The sequence below is a fragment of the Homo sapiens genome, chromosome 2 (assembly GCF_000001405.40).
Source record: "Homo sapiens chromosome 2, GRCh38.p14 Primary Assembly".
In the NCBI taxonomy this organism is placed as follows: Eukaryota; Metazoa; Chordata; class Mammalia; order Primates; family Hominidae; genus Homo; species Homo sapiens.
In genome coordinates, this window is record NC_000002.12 from 65,747,906 (window position 1) to 65,764,465 (window position 16,560).

Below are 16,560 nucleotides of genomic sequence, written 5' to 3' on the forward strand. Positions count from 1 at the left end.
TACAGAGTAACCCAAAAGAAGTTAAACTTGCCCGTTTAAATAAATTGATCTATTCCGGTTTGAAGCAATATTTTTCAGGCAAGCTCAGATTCTGTAGGCTTAAGCCTTTTCTCCTTCTCTCAACCCCTCTTCTCCTTCTCCCCGGGTGACATCTGGGCACAGGAAAAGGCTTACGTAACATTGTCATGGTTGGGGCAGGATGTTTTCTTTCTTTCTTTCTTTCCTTCCTTCCTTCCTTCCTTCCTTCCTTCCTTCCTTCCTTCCTTCCTTCCTTCCTTCTTTCTTTCTTTTCTTTCTCTTTCTTTCTTTCTTTCTTTCTTTCTTTCTTCCTTCCTTCCTTCCTTCCTTCCTTCCTTCCTTCCTTCCTTCCTTCCTTCCTTCCTTTCTTTTCTTTTCTTTCTTTCTTTCATCTTGAGACAGAGTCTCACTCTGTCACCCAGGCTGGAGTGCGGTGGCACAATCTCAGCTCACTGCAACCTCCGCCTCCCTGGTTCAAAGGATCTCCTGCCTCGGCCACCAGAGTAGCTGGGATTACAGGCATGTGCCACCATGCCCGACTAATTTTTGTGTTTTTAGTAGAGACAGGGTTTCAGCATGTTGGCCAGTCTGGTCTTGAACCCCTGGCCTCAAATGATCTGCCTGCCTCGGCCTCCCAAAGTGCCAGGATTACAGGCATGAGCCACTGCACCCTGCGGGATGTTTTCTGCTTGTGTTGTCCTTCTCTTCTGGCTTCTGTTGACTTCTTTTTGAGGTGCAGCTGATTTTGTCTCCTCTTTGGGAGTTAGCTTCAGCTACCAAGGTGTCTTTGGTTGGTGTGTCTTGTGATTGTCAGCTGGGTGTGGCTGCCCCTAGGTTTAGCATCCTCTGCTTTGCCTCTTGCTGCCGTAGACCCTCTGGGGCTTAGCCAGGAACTTCTACTGGAAACTGGCTTTATGTGGCCTACTTCCCAGCTTCTGCTATAGGATTCTCTTGCCACACACCAGGCAACTTCTTAGCAAATACTCTTACTTTTCAGCTCCCTTCTTCCATGTCTACCACAGGGCTATTTGGGAGCTTCTAGATGTCCCCAGGCCAGGTATATCTCTGGGAACAAGAGAAGGTTATTTTTGGCCCATCTGCTTGGCATTTCTCTCTGCAAATGATGTTCTAGGGCTCCTGAACTCCAGGGGCCATGCGTGTGTGCATGTGGAGCACAGGAGGGTAGTACACATTAAAGCACCAGCCTAAGTAGTTTTGTATTCTTCCTCAACCTATCTGGAATTTTTGTCTTCTTGCTCTCTTTCTTCCAGGGCCATCCCCCGGTAGGTGAGGAGATAGATGGGTAGAAAGTCTTGCCCCTTCTTCTGTTCAACAGGAGTTGCCCCCACATCCCATCCTCTGTCCTCTCTACACAGTAACTCATAGTAAAACTCTGTGCTTAGTCCCCTGGGCTTTGTTCTTAATATGTGCAAAGATAATTTTTGAATAGAAATAACATATTTTTCTCTTTCAACAAAACTCACTTCTAAGACAATAGTTTCTCTCTGACTTGAGAAATCCAATATAAAACACAAGGTAAAAAAAAAAAGAGTTCTTGGTTCAGGGTTGTGCCTCTTCTTTCCCTGAAACAACAAAGGCCATTGATTCAGTGGGCAGAGAGCTGCAGGGCAACATGATTTATGGGTAATGAAAAATACATTAGTGTAATAATTTCAAAAATATGGTAGAAAGAGTTGGGAACTTCTGGATTAGAAGAAATGGATCAAATGAGGCTGCTTACATGCTGGGGTGGCTGACTCAAAGGAAAATGTAGCTGGATCGCCACAGCTGGATATCCTTGGGTTATGTGGTTGCCTTTCTCAGCCTCACTGAGCAGGGTCAGAAGATGTGAGTCACAAAACCAACTGCAGCAGGAAAGACAAACATGGCCTCTCATCTCATGGCGGCACAGAGGGGCAACAGAAGCTCCTGTGAGCTTGTGAATTCTTCTTGCTCAGAAATCCTTTTCTTCTCGTTTACATGGGGCTACCCCATGAGTCTTCAGGGGTCAGCAAACTTTCTATAAAGAGCCAGATGATAAATATTTTTGACCTTTCATGCTATGGGGTGTATGTCACAACTATTCACCTCTGCCACTGTGATGGGAAGGCAGACATAGATAATATATAATGGGAAAGTGGGCTGGAGTTTCAATAAAACTTTATTTAGAAAACCAGGCGGTGGGCCAGATTTGGCCTGAGGGTGGTAGTTTACTGATTCTTAATCTGGAATAAAGTGCTAGGTCAATGTAGAGAAAGAACTGCCTGAACTGACTCCTCTATCCTGTGTCTACCTGTTTGATCCCCTCCCTACCTCCCGTTCCCCCCACCACCCCATGCACATCTGCCTCCAATTGCACATACAGACCAGACCAGGTTTTTAACATTATTGTGACCCAGCCTTTGGCTTCACTCATCAAGTCTCCAGGATGGAGAAACAGAGGCCCTGAATTTTTTTTTTTAAAACACTTGTCAAGCTTAATGACTGTTATTTACAGAGGTAGTTTAAATTTTTTTTATTGTATTATTATCTTTTGCCCCTGGGAAATTTCCAGATTGGCTCACATTTTGATTTCCAGGCTTTCTGGGCAGGGCTGGATGCTCAAGAGGTCAATATGCTGATGAGTAGGGAAGACAAAAGGGCCAAGTGAGCAGATGCTCCTAACTGACCACAAACTGCAGCACAAGTAAGGCATTCCGCCTCTATTTGAGAGCATATAGTAATTTTCTATGGTTGCCATAACACATTACCACACACTTAGTGGGTTGAAACAAGGCAAATATATTATCTTACAGTGCTGGAAGACAGAAGTCTGGCATAGGTTTCATGGAGCTAAAATCAAGATGTTGGTAAGGCTGTGATTCTTTCCAGAGGCTGTAGGAGAGGATCCATTTCTTTGCCTTTTCTGGCTTCTAGAGGCTGCCTACATTCCTTGGTTCATAGCCTCCACCTCCATCTTCAGAGCCAGGAACATTGTGTCTCTCTGACCATTCTTTCAATAGTCCTGTCTCTCTCTGACTACAGCTGGGAAAGTTTTCAAAGATTCAGATGATTAGATTGGGCTCGCTTGAATAATCCAGGATAATCTCGCTATCTCAGCATCCTTAACCTTAATCCCATCTGTAAAGTCTCTTTTGTCATGTAATATAACATATTCACAGCTTCCAGGGATTAAGACAAGGAGATCTTTGGGGCACCATTATTTTGCCCACCACAGAGCAGGATCCTGCCTTGTGTTTTTCTCATAGATACTTTCTGGGCACATAGAGGTGCTGAATAAATTACTTGCATTTACTGGGATCTAAGCCCCTAGGCTAAGGGGAGCTGTTGAGGAGAAGCCCCAGTCTGCTGCGTGAGGAGGGCATGGCCTTCCTTGGGGAAGGGAGGCTGAGTGGTGTAGGACAAGCACTGAGCTCACAGGCTAAGGACTTGGGCTCTTGTCCCAACTCTGCTGCACATCTCACTTGCTATCTCTGGTCCCTCGTGTAATCTTCTATAGCATGAGGAATGTAGATTAGGCAGTGGTTTTCCAAAGCTTTTTAAGCACCAGGGGCCTTTCTTCAAGTCAAGCCTATAGAATTCCAGGTCAGAGTGGAGCTATAGTGTTTGAAGAAGGGCTAAGGCCCAGAGCCTTCCCTGCAGGCCTTTCCCAAGAGCTGCCTGGCAGCTGCAGAGATACAGTTTCTTTCCAGGTCTCCTGGAACGCTATTTGGAGATCGCTGGACTAGATCAGGGTTGGCTAATTGCAGCCAGCAGGCTAAATCAGGTCTGAGGCCTGGTGTTGTTTGATTCCTGAACTAATAATTCTATACATATATATAGTTTATTATGGTAAAATACATGTAACAAAAATTTACCATCTTAACCATTTTTAAGTGTGCAGTTTAGTGACATTACATACATTTACTTTGCTGTGTATCCATCACCACCATCCATCTCCAGAACTCTTTTCATGTTGCCTAAGACTCTGCATCCATTAAATAATAATTCTCTATTTCTCCTTTCCCCAGTCCCTGGAAACCACCATTCTATTTTCTGTCTCTGTGAATTTGACAGAACTGAGACCTCCTATGTGTGTATGAAATTACACCCAGCACAATGTGTCCTAAGGAAATAGTGGAGGCTGTGCACTACGGTGGCAGTATTGCTTATTTCAGATAAAAATTGGAATCAAAAGTCCAACAAAAGGAGATTCTTTGAATCATTTATGCTGTGTCTATAACATGGAATGCTACAAGGCTATTGAAAAGGCATCATAGATAAATATTTGTCCACATCAGAAGATGGATGTGATTTATTAAGAAAGAAAAATAGATTGTAAAGCATATGTCTATATGTGGGTTTTTAAGTTGTTATATATTTGTTTTAATCAGTAGCTTTAATTAAAATATATACATATAATTCAAAATAAGATATACATGAAAATATTAACATTGATTGGCCCTGGGTAGTGGGATCACGGTTGGTTTTCATTTTCTTTTTGCTGACTGAGTTCATTTCTTTCTCTTGCAGACTTTGGGCCTTTCCTCTGGGTGGGGGCCTGCTAATCAGAGTTGGGAATCATCTTTCTTTTTTAAACCAAACCCATCAAGCATTTTCTTCATTTTCTACTTTTGGGTCCTTTAAAGTAGAACGAGGATGTTAAGTATCCTTTTTTTAAGACTTTTACAACATTTTTAAACAGTTGTTTAGCCTACCCCTAATTCCACAGAAACTACTTAAAGCAACTCATTTGACTGTATCATCTCAATGCAATTTAGTTTTCATAGAAACAACACTGTTTTGGTTCTCCTATTTCATCATTTTTATGCATCAAGCAAATTGCATACTTATAATAGCAGGTACACTTGGCATAGACAATTCGGGCCCTTTGTGAGTAAAACTGGTAGAAGTGGAGGTGCTCAGGAATGATAAGAGCAGCCTACTAGCTATAGGCATTCAGTGTGTCCTGGCATTCATCTGTAGTTTTCAGAGAGGGAATGGGGAGCATTTATTGACCTAATGAGTTGGTTAAATGACAGTCAGTTGAGAGAATTTCTACCACATATATTTTCTCTTTTTTTAATTATTATTATACTTAAAGTTCTAGGGTACATGTGCACAATGTGCAGGTTTGTTACATATGTATACATGTGCCATGTTGGTGTGCTGCACCCATTAACTTGTCATTTATATTAGGTATATCTCCTAATGCTATCCCTCCCTCCTCCCCCCACCCCATGACAGGCCCTGGTGTGTGATGTTCCCCTTCCTGTGTCCAAGTGTTCTCATTGTTCAATTCCCACCTATGAGTGAGAACATGCGGTGTTTGGTTTTTTGTCCTTGTGATAGTTTGCTGAGAATGGTGGTTTCCAGCTTCATCCATGTCCCTACAAAGGACATGAACTTATCCTTTTTTATGGCTGCAAACTCATCCTTTTTTATGGCTGCATAGTATTCCATGGTGTATATGTGCCACATTTTCTTAATCCAGTCTATCATTGATGGACATTTGGGTTGGTTCCAAGTCTTTGCTATTGTGAATAGTGCCACAATAAACATATGTGTGCATGTGTCTTTATAGCAGCATGATTTATAATCCTTTGGGTATATACCGAGTAATGGGATGGCTGGGTCAAATGGTATTTCTAGTTCTAGATCCTTGAGGAATCGCCACACTGTCTTCCACAATGGTTGAACTAGTTTACAGTCCCACCAACGGTGTAAAAGTGTTCCTATTTCTCCACATCCTCTCTAGCACCTGTTATTTTCTGACTTTTTAGTGATCACCATTCTAACTGGTATGAGATGGTATCTCATTGTCTACCACATATATTTTCTACCACATTGCCTTCATCATATCCTCCACTTCTGCTCAGATCTGCCACCCTCCCTAGGTGACCTGACTCTGCAGTTTGGGGAACTGATACCCTCAGGCTCATTTCTAATGCACGAGGGTCTCCTCTCCCAGTATGTAGAGGATCTCATGGCAGCCATACTCCTGAAGCTAAAATAAGGAGTACGACAAAGGATGAGCTTGTTTGGATAGACTCAGACTTTGGGTTTTTAAGGCCTATCACTCTTGATCCTACTGACTTTTTCCCAGCAGCCAATGTTAAGGACCCTGCATTTAGGTGCTGGATGCAGCCATTCCTGCCTGATCCCTGCTGCTATCTCATGGCCTCATGCAGCCTTGTTTTGCCTGGGTTTGCCTTTGAGTCTGGGTTTTCTACATAGGATACTACATAATAGGCCTTCAATAAATACTGACAGACTATGGTATGTCTGGGGTATTTCCAGAGTGACCTGCAGTTCCACTGATGATCGTGGAATAAAATCCCTTTCTTAATGTTTTAATTAGTTGTTTATGCATTATTATTATTATTATTTATTCCAGACTTCTTGGCACTTTATATCTTTCTGCCAGCTGGGTTGTTGACCTCTTCAAAACCAGCACTGTGATTACATTTTGTGGACCAGTTTATGAGTCAGTTGGCAGCTGATCAGTTCCTCACTGCCAAATTCACACATTTTCTTTGTTATCACTTGGATGACCCACTGAATTGGATCACATGGGGCTTCATAAACAGAATCTTACTAGGAATTCTAAGAGGAGTGGCTCTTGCATGAGAGAAAATATCTTGGGTTTGATCAGTGGAAACTGTGAATATAAATTCCAAAAATGCCAACACCTGTGTAAGGTTTAGGTGTTGCACTATAAAAGGTCTTCAGTGTCCAGCTGGAATTCAGGGAATCAACCGAACAACTCCAGAGTTACTGATTATTTAGAGTTATATTATTTGTACTTACTCGTCTCCTTATAACTGCATATTGTTTCTTTTTCAGATTGCTGAGTTGAGTAAATATTTCCTTCCATAAAGGTAAATAAGCATCTCAAGAGCAAGTTTCTACATTTTGTATTTCCCTGTTTTATTTCTGTAAAATTGTGCAACCAAGAATTATGACCTACTGATATTAGAATAAAATTTGCAGAAGTTTGACTACATGAGCCAGATGGGTACTTACACCAGTGATTACTGAGCGTTCACCAGTTAACCAGGGCCTTGCTTGCTGCTTCTTAAGAGACAGGAACATTTGTGTTAAAATAATGTATTGCTAGGTGTGATTCCAAGATATCCTAATTTGTATCATCAGAGGTGTGACTTAGGAGTTTTTATTTGAAAGATGCCCTTCATGTGATTCTGAAGTGTTCTGTACTTGCTTGTTTTGGTGAAAATTGTTTAATTCATGTTGTAGTATGTTCTTGCATTGCTGTGAAGAAATACCTGAGGCTGGGTAATTTATATAAAAAAAGAGGTTTAATTGACTCACACTTCTGCAGGCTGTACAGGAACTGTAACAGCTTCTGCTTCTGGGGAGGCCTCAGGAAGCTTCCAATCATGGCAGAAGACAAAGGGGGAATGAAGTGTCCCACCTAAGGGGAGCAAGAGAGAAGCAGGAGGTGCTACACACTTCTAAACAACCAGATCTTGAGAGGGCTCTATCACGAAAACAGCACCAAGGGAGTGGTGCTTGATATGGTTTTGCTGTGTCCCCACCCAAAATTTCATCCTGAATTGTAATCCAAATTGTAATCCCTACATGTTGGGGGAAGGACCCTGTGGGAGGTGATTAGATCATGGGGACGATTCCCATGCACTTCTCTTTTTTGCTGCCATGTGAAGAAGGATGTGTTTGCTTCCCCTTCTACCATGAGTGTAAGTTTCCTGAGGCCTCCCCAGCCATGTGGAACTGTGAGTCAATTAAACCTCTTTCCTTTATAAATTACCCAGTCTCAGGCAGTTCTTTATAGCAGCATGAGAACATACTAATACAGTACTAAACCATTCATGAAGGATCCGCCCCCATGATCCAGTCATCTCCCATCAGGCCCCACTTCCAACACTGAGGATTACAATTTGACAGGAGATTTGATGGGGACACAGATATAAACCGTATCATTCTGCCCCTGGCCCCTGAAATCTCTTGTCCTTCTCACATTGCAAAATACAGTCATGCCTTCCCCACAGTCCCCTGAAGTCATAACTCATTTAGAGCATTAACTCAAAAGTCCTAAATGTCTAAGTCTCATCTGAGACAAGGTTAGTTCCTTCCACCTATGAGCCTGTAAAATCAGAACCAAGTTAGTTAGTTCTAAGATACAATGGGGGCATAAACATTGGATAAATATTCCCCTCCCAAAAGGGAGAAATTAGCCAAAAGAAAGGGGCGACAGGCCCCACAAAAGGGGGGCTGCCAACCCCACAGCAGGGCTATTATGAAATCTAAAGCTTCAAAATAGTTTCTTTCTTTCTTACTTTTTTTTTTTTTTTGAGATGGGGTCTTGCTCTGTCACCCAGGCTGGAGTGCACTGGTGTGATCTTGGCTCACTGCAACCTCCGCCTCCCAGGTTCAAGAGATTTTCTTGCCTCAGCCTCTTGAGTAGCTGGGATTACAGGCACCCACCACCATGCCTGATTAATTTTTCTATTTTTTTTGTAGAGACAGGGTTTCTCCATTTTGGCTAGGCTGGTCTCAAACTCCTGACCTCAAGTAATCCACCTGCCTTGGCCTCCCAAAGTGCAGGGATTACAGGTATAAGCCACTGTGCACAGCCCAAAATAGTTTCTTTTGACTCTATGTCTTACATCCAGGGCACACTGGTGCAAGGAGTGAGCTCCCAAAGCCTTGGGCAGCTCCGCCCCTGTGGGCTTTTCAGGGTTCAGCCCCTATGGCTGCTCTCATTGGCTATTGTTGAGTGCCTGTGGCTTTTCCAGGCTGAAGGTACAAGCTGGTGATGGATCTATTATTCCAGGATCTGGAGGACAGTGGCCCTCTTCTCAAGTTCTACTAGGCTGTGCCCCAGTGGGGACTCTGTGTGGGGGCTCCAACCCCATATTACCCCTGCACACTGCCCTAGTAGATGTCCTCCATGAGGGCTCCACCCCTGCCACAGGCTTCTGCCTAGACACCCAGGCTTTTCTATACAACTTCTGAAATCTAGGTGGAAGCTTCCAAGCCTCAACTCTTATACTCTGTGCACCTGCAGATGTAACATCATGTGGAAGCTGCCAAGGCTTATGGCTTGGACTCTCTGAAACAGCAGCCTGAACTGTATTTGGGTCCCTTTGAGCCATGGCTGGAGCTGGAGCAGCTGGGATGCAGGGACCAGTGTCCCAAGGCTATGCAAGGCAGCAGGGCCTTGGGCCTGGCCCATGAAATCAATCAGTCCTCCTAAGCTTCTGGGCCTGTGGTGAAAGGGGCTGTTGAAAATTTTTCTGAAATGCCTTTTCCTCACTGTCTTGGCTATTAGCACCTGGCTGTTTTTTACTTATGCAAATTTCTGCAGTCTGCTTGAATTTCTCCCCTGAAATTGGCCTTTTCTTTTTTACCACATGGCCAGGCTGCAAATATTCCAAACTTTTATGCTCTGCTTCCTCTTTAAATATAAGTTCCAACTTTAGGTCATTTCCTCACTCATGCATATGAGCCTAGGTTGTTAGAAGCAGTCAGGCTATGTCTTGAATGCTTTGCTGCTTAGAAATCTCTTTTGCCAGCTACCCTAAATCATCACTCTCAAGTTCAAAGTTCCACAAATCCAGAGGGCAGGGGCGCAGTGCTGCCAAGTTCTTTGCTAAGGCATAACAAAAGTGACCTTTGCTTCAGTTCCCAATAAGTTTCTCATCTCCATCTGTGACCTCATCAGACTGGCCTTTTCTGTCCATATCACTATCAGCATTTTGGTCACAATCACTTAACCAGTCTGTAGGAAATTCCAAACTCTCCCTTATCTTCCTGTCTTCTTCTGAGTCCTCCAGACTCTTCCAACCTCCACCTGTTACCCATTTCCAAAGTCGCTTCCACATTTTCAGGTATGTTTATGGCAATGCCCCACTCCTTGGTACCAATTTTCTGTATTATTCCATTCTTGCATTGCTATTAAGAAATACCTAAGACTCAGTATTGTATAAGAAAGGTGGTTTAATTGGCTCACGGTTCCACAGGCTGTACCAGACACATAATGTTGGCATCTGCTTGGCTTCTGAGGAGCCCTCCAGAAACTTACAATCATGGTGGAAGGCAAAGGAGGAGAAAGGCATTTCATATTGGGGAGCGGGAGCAAGAGAGAGCAAGGGGAAGGTGTTACACACTTTTAAACAACCAGATCTTGTGAAAACGCTATCACAAGAACAGCATCAAGGGGACAGTACTAAACCGTTCATTGAGGATCCACCCCATGGTCCAATCATCTCGCACCAGGCCTCACCTGCAATATCGGGGATTGCAATTTGACATGAGATTTGGTGGGGACACAGATCCAAATCATATCAATTCATATACATTTTTACTTTTTCTTCATTATCAAAATGTTCTAGTTTCCTTTTTGAGATCATTTTTTACTATATACAAATTTATTTAAAGTTATAGAGTTACTATGTAGTTGAAGACTAGAAACTATAAAATAAATTGAAATGGGCATGCTAAAGTGTCAGCTAGGTTTCCTTATTAGCTAAATAAGTTCTATTCACTACTGGTCTTTTAATACCCAAAATTCAAATTCATGAACAGCATCCTTGAGAATTACCAAATAGGTTGATAAGGAATAGTTGAAACTAAGATTGTTAAATCCACAAATGCCAAATATTTGTATCATTATTTAGTTATATGTTCTGCCAGTTTCTTTTTTTTAAAAATATGAATCTATTGAGTTGTATAGAGATGACAATATGATTACAGAGTAGAACAAGTAGATGAGAATAATACTAGGTACTACACTGAGCCAACAGCTTCTTGAGGCATTAACTGATTTCCAATCTGTAAATGATATTCTTGTGAAAAAAACTGGAGAAATTGGAAGTGTGGGATTGTTCAGCTAGGCAGATGTATAGAAGGTAGAAGAATCTGAAAGATAGATGGCAGATCGATCAATACAATAAATGAAGCCTCCAGAGGCATACTGCAGAAATTTGACCAGACCTTCCCATGTTTTTGTATGAATTCCATATTTGAGCATGAAACAAAACTAGAAAGACTAGCAAATATTTAAGATGATAGAATCTGGGACAAATGCTCTTAACAGGCTGGATCCAGGAGTTGAATGTTAAAAAAAATCACACTGATAGTAATAAAGGGAAAGTCCTACATTTACATTATCAAAGCCAACCAACCAACCAGCCAACCAACCGATCAACAAATGATATGAGCATGGAGTGTGGAGGAGTGGCTTAACAGAATTTCTTTTGGAAAGGATTTAGAAAGGAAAGGATTTAATTCACTCATTCATTCAGCCAATACTTATTCACCACTTCCTATGTGTCAGACACTATTCTAGAGGTGCATTCTCCAATAAGGGAGTCACTGTCGAACATTTGAAATGCTATAGAACATTTAAAATGTGGCTAGTTCAAATTGTAGGTGCTATAAGTATAAAATACATATTGCATTTCTGAGGCTTGATATGAAGAGAACATAGAATATATCATTTTTTAATAATTACATGTTGAATATATTGGCTATAATAAAATAGTGAAATATATTTAATGTTTCTCTTTTTCTTTAATGTGCCTACTAGGAAATTTAAAATTGCATATGTAACTCACATTCTATTTCTATTGAGCAGTGCTCCTCTAGACTCTGAGTACACGTAATTGAATAAAACAGACAAGATTTCTGTCTTCTTTCATTCATTCAGCTAATATTTACTGAGCACCTATTATGTGCCAGGCACCATTCTTTTAGGGTGATATATTCCAACAGGAGGAAGATAAATCATAAAAAGTAGCCAAATAAATAAAAAAGATCTTTTCATTTAGTATGCAGTGAAGTGATAAAAATACAACAGAGTGGTTGTGGGGAGGGACAGTCATTTATATTGTGAGGTTGGGGAAAGCCTCACTGTTAAAGGTGCCATTTCAGCCGAGACCTGAGTCACCAAGGAGCCACACATTAAGAAAACTGGGGTGAGAGCCTTACACTCACAGGAAACACCAAGTACAAAGGTCCTAAGGTAGGAACAGTGACAGGGCCAGTAGTATGGGGGCATTACAAGCTGTATCAAGGAGTTTGGCTTTTATTTTAAGGCAATGTGAAGTCACTGGAGGCTATAAATCAGGTGAGTGACAGGATCAAATGTAAATTTTTATAAGATTATTCTGTTTAAAGCGGAAAAAGTAAAAGCAAGGGTGCCAGTAATTTAGGCAAGAAGTGATGGTGACCTGGAGTAGGATGACATTAATGAAGTTGGAAAGAACCCAGGGACTCAGTGTTTTGGGAGATAGGGGCACTGAGCTTTATTGAAGGTTTGATTTGGTGTGCGGGGAATGAAGGAATCAGGTGCAAATGCAGCATTCCTCAGAGTGTGGTGTCATTGCCAGAAACAAAGAAAAGCCACCCAACTCCAAAGGCCAATGTGATCTGATGCTGTTCTGGTAGGGTTACCCTTCCCCAGGGTTGGGGACTTCATATCACACATAGGAGCAATAGCTAAAGAAGACATATTAACCAAGGGAGTGCATACCAAAGGATGCATGTGGGGCTCTGCATTTCATTTTTGGTGAGAACCCAAAGGAAGAAGGAGTAGGAAGGCAGATTTGGTCTTTTTCCCTATTGTTCAAATATGATTGGGCTGACTCCTGGGTTGAGCTCTATGTCACAGGAGGCATTCAAACAAGAACCAGATTAGAGGCCACCAACTGGAGGTCTGTGAGCTACATCTGGCTCATCAATTGTTTTCTTTGACTTTCACATTTCCCCCCCTCCTTAATTATTCAACAAACTGTCAGCCTTTCAACAACTTAGCTTAAGAATTCCAGGATTCTTTTTTCTGTTGAGCAGGAGGGAAGGTCTGATGGCTTCAGACCACCTTTCTGCACTGTACCCGTTGGTCAGGTGTGAGAAGCGTCCGTGCCCTGTCGGGGAGAAAAACCTTCTTCGGTTTTCCTCTGTTCTTGCCTGGTCCCATTCATTCTCTTGACCCTGTAGGCATTGAGTTTATGACTCCTAGACTTTTTAGGAATGTCACAGAGGATATTCTAATTGTCTCTGGGAACTGGACAAGAAAGTCAGGATTTTTATTGCTAAAATTGAGATTTCTTATTTTCTTGACCGATACTACCAGAACGGAAGCTTTCATTTACTCTAGGATCTTTCCTCTACCAGCCTGTTCTGGGGTCATGCATGCTATGGTATGGATGGTGGCTTTGAATGCAGTCTTTGAAGTTAGCTTTATCTTAGTTCCAATCCCAACACCAGACAGTTACTATATGACCTCTGTGGGCCTTGTTATTACCATCTGTAAAATTGATTTAAACATTTTAGTGCCTCCCCCAGAGAGTTGCTGTGATTATTAAATGAAATAATGTATTTAAAAAACCTAGCTCATAGGCAGGGTAGTGGGGATGAGGGTGTGGGGATGGTTAATGGGTACAAAAAAATAGAATGAACAAGACCTAGTATTTGCTAGCACAACAGGGTGACTATAGTCAAATAATTTTTATATTTTATCTTCAAAATAATTTTATAGTCAAAAATAATTTAATTATACATTTAAAAGTAACTAAAGGAGTACATAATTGGATTGTTTATAACACAATGGATGAATGCTTGAGGGGATGAATGCCCCATTTACCCTGATGTGATTATTACACATTGCATGCCTGTATCAAAATATCTCATGTAACCCATAAATATATACACTTACTAGGTACCCACAGAAATTAAACATTTTTAAAAATCAAAAAATAAAAGACATAGCCCAAAGCAAGGCTCATAATGGGTACCCAGCAAACTCTATTATTAAATACTTCTTGAGCATCTACTAGCTTCAGGCTTTTTGCAAAATTCTTAGAGTTGTCAGACTGTGAGGTGATCATTACAATTCTAGTTTAATCCTCTCATTTTACAGCTGAGGAAACTGAGGCCCCAAATGGTGAAATGTTTTGCTCAAGGCTACCAAGTTAGGATCTGATTGACAGAGACTTGGAATTTGAGCTTCTCTGTCGACAGTTGGATTCACTCTATTGTTTGCCCATTCATTTCCTGGTCAACTTCTCCTTCAACCTCTCTTCCCACTGGATTCAACAAGTTTTTATTGAGTATCTAATACATTATTGGAGTCAGATATAGAACAGTGGTTCTCAGTTGGAGGGTGAGTTATCCAGGAGACAGTTGGAAATGTCTAATGACGTATTTGTCACAACTGGGTGGGTACTACCAGTATCTAATGGGTAGGTGCCAGGGATACTGCTAAACATCCTATAATGCTCAAGACAGCCCCCAGCAATTATCTGGCCCTAAAAGTCAATAGTGCTGAGGCTGAGAAACCCTGATATAGAGGATGTACAGATAAGTGAAACTTTTTTTTTTTTTGCTTGCAAAGAGTTCCCATTCCAGGGCAGCGGGGGAGGAGGTGGTGGAGGATTACTCTTGATACATTGTGATAAGTGCCCCCCAAGAACATCAGTACCCCTGATGAATGCTCTCTGAATTTTTGGACCTAACTACTTTCCTTTAGACAACACTTACAACAAATCCACGTGGGCAGAGTAATTATTAAATAAAGTGGAGGGGGCCACAGAGCCAAATGAAGATACAGAGCCCTGTATTGAGCCTCCTTTCCTGGAGGCTCAAACTGGGAAGAAAACCTCTTTATTCATTTTAAAAACAAAGCCTTCACTCCATTATTATTATTATAATGTTCATTATGGGAAATTTGGAAAAATATATAAAAGTTGAAGGCATAAATAATTCTTAATATTTTGCTTTATTTCCTTTCAACTTTTTTTTTCTTCCTATGCTTGGTTTTTTACTTTGCATAGTTGTGATCATATAGAATGGATAAACTTGCAGACTGCCTATAAATTGGCATTCTTTCATTGTGTATGTGTTACTGCCATGGACATCTTTGTGCATAAAACTCCTCTTTATTTAGGGTTAAAAAAATAAATTCTCGGAAGTGAAATAATTAGTTTTAAACTATAAGTAATTTAAAGCTTTTGATATATACTGAAAATTGCTTTCGCAAGAGATTATTTCAATTACATTCTCACTGACAATGTATGAAATTGCCCTCAAAAGTTAATCTTAAAAATCATGAGCTGGGTAATATGATTTTAAGATAGTCAATGGTGAGATCAAGTTATGTATTTCTTGGAATAGATGAGATATATAAAAAGAGAACATAGTAATTTTTTAATAAGCTCTTGCTAATTTAACTTTCAATATTGTTCCTTATTGAATTCAGTGTTCACAGTTCACATTTGTTACAGAAAGTTTAAATATCTGTTTTATAATGTTGAAAATACACTCTTCTGCGTTTATAGTATAAAATCCTTACTGTATTTTAAATTTAGTTTTTTTGTGGCTGTGGCATTTCATACATATATACAGTGGTATTAATGTTTGTGATATCTCTGGTTTTGTGTGGCTATTTTATTCTTGTGTGGAGAACTGTGGATGAGAGTTTTATCTCTATTTCTTTTTCTTTCCTTTATTCCTTTTTTTTTAAAAAAAATTTGGAAACTGCCAAGCAAACAACCATCCCTCAATGAATGAGATAAATTAATTTGCCTTTTCCTGTTACAAGTTGAAACACAAAAATGTTATAGCAAAGAAAAAGTATCCGGTTCCAATTTTATGGTTAAATCTCTTTGTCTGAAGGACCAGAAAAAGCTCTTCCTTGAAGTCAGTATAGAAATATGTTTTCACAACTTAGCAATACACTGAAATTCTTTAAGGGAGCTTTTATTTTTCCCTCCTACTTCAATTATAAAATTGGAGATGTAGCCTCATAAAGAGAGGAAAAAATCAATGATAGACTGAGTTGAAAACATTTGACAAGGAAATAATTTAAGACTGGTTCAACAAAGGGCACAGATTGCAGAAGAAGAAATGTAAATGACTAATATAATATAAAAAGGTCAGCTTCACTAATAATGACATGCAGATTGAAATGAAGTACAATTTCCACCTACCAAATTGGCAAAAATAAAGATATTCTTCAATGTTGATAAGGATACAGTGAAACACATTTGCAGACATCGCTGTTTGGGATGTAAATTCACATCAGCATTATAAAAATCAATCTAGCAATATGTATTAAGAACTTAAAAAGAGTTCACATCCTTTTTTACTCAATAATTTTTCTTTTATGGGGCTACTGTAAATTATTCAAAAATCTCTACAAATAGGTATATCCAAAGATGTTCATTGCATTGTTATTTATAATAGCAAACTATTGCAAAGAACCTAAATATCCAACAATAGGAAATTGGTTGAGTACACTATGGTATAGATACCTTGCTACCTGGAGTGTGGTTCAAAGACCAGCCGCATTGCCCCATCCGAGACATAATGAATAAGAACCTGCATTTTAACAAGTCTCCCTGGTGATTGCTGTGCACATTGAAGTTTGAGAAGACTTGTTCAGGTATAGGAGAAAGCAGTTCCCACCTGATATTCATTATAGGGGATTTTTTCTTTTTTTTTTTTTAAACAGAAAACATTCTCAGCTGGGGCACACAGACTCTCTGATGGTAGAGGCAGATTATCTGTAGTTTTAGGAAG

General features: G+C 40.4%; 1 long non-coding RNA gene across 4 annotated transcripts in view; it reads left to right on the forward strand.

Annotated features, from left to right (window-relative positions):
- Positions 1–6,998, forward strand: part of LOC105369167 (uncharacterized) — a 29,572-nt gene extending 22,574 nt beyond the window's left edge. For all 4 annotated transcript variants that reach the window (XR_940196.2, XR_940197.2, XR_940198.2 and 1 more), the window contains one exon: positions 6,844–6,998. This is a non-coding gene — a long non-coding RNA (uncharacterized LOC105369167). The remainder of the gene's footprint in view (positions 1–6,843) is intronic.
- The last annotated feature ends 9,562 nt before the right edge of the window (positions 6,999–16,560 follow it).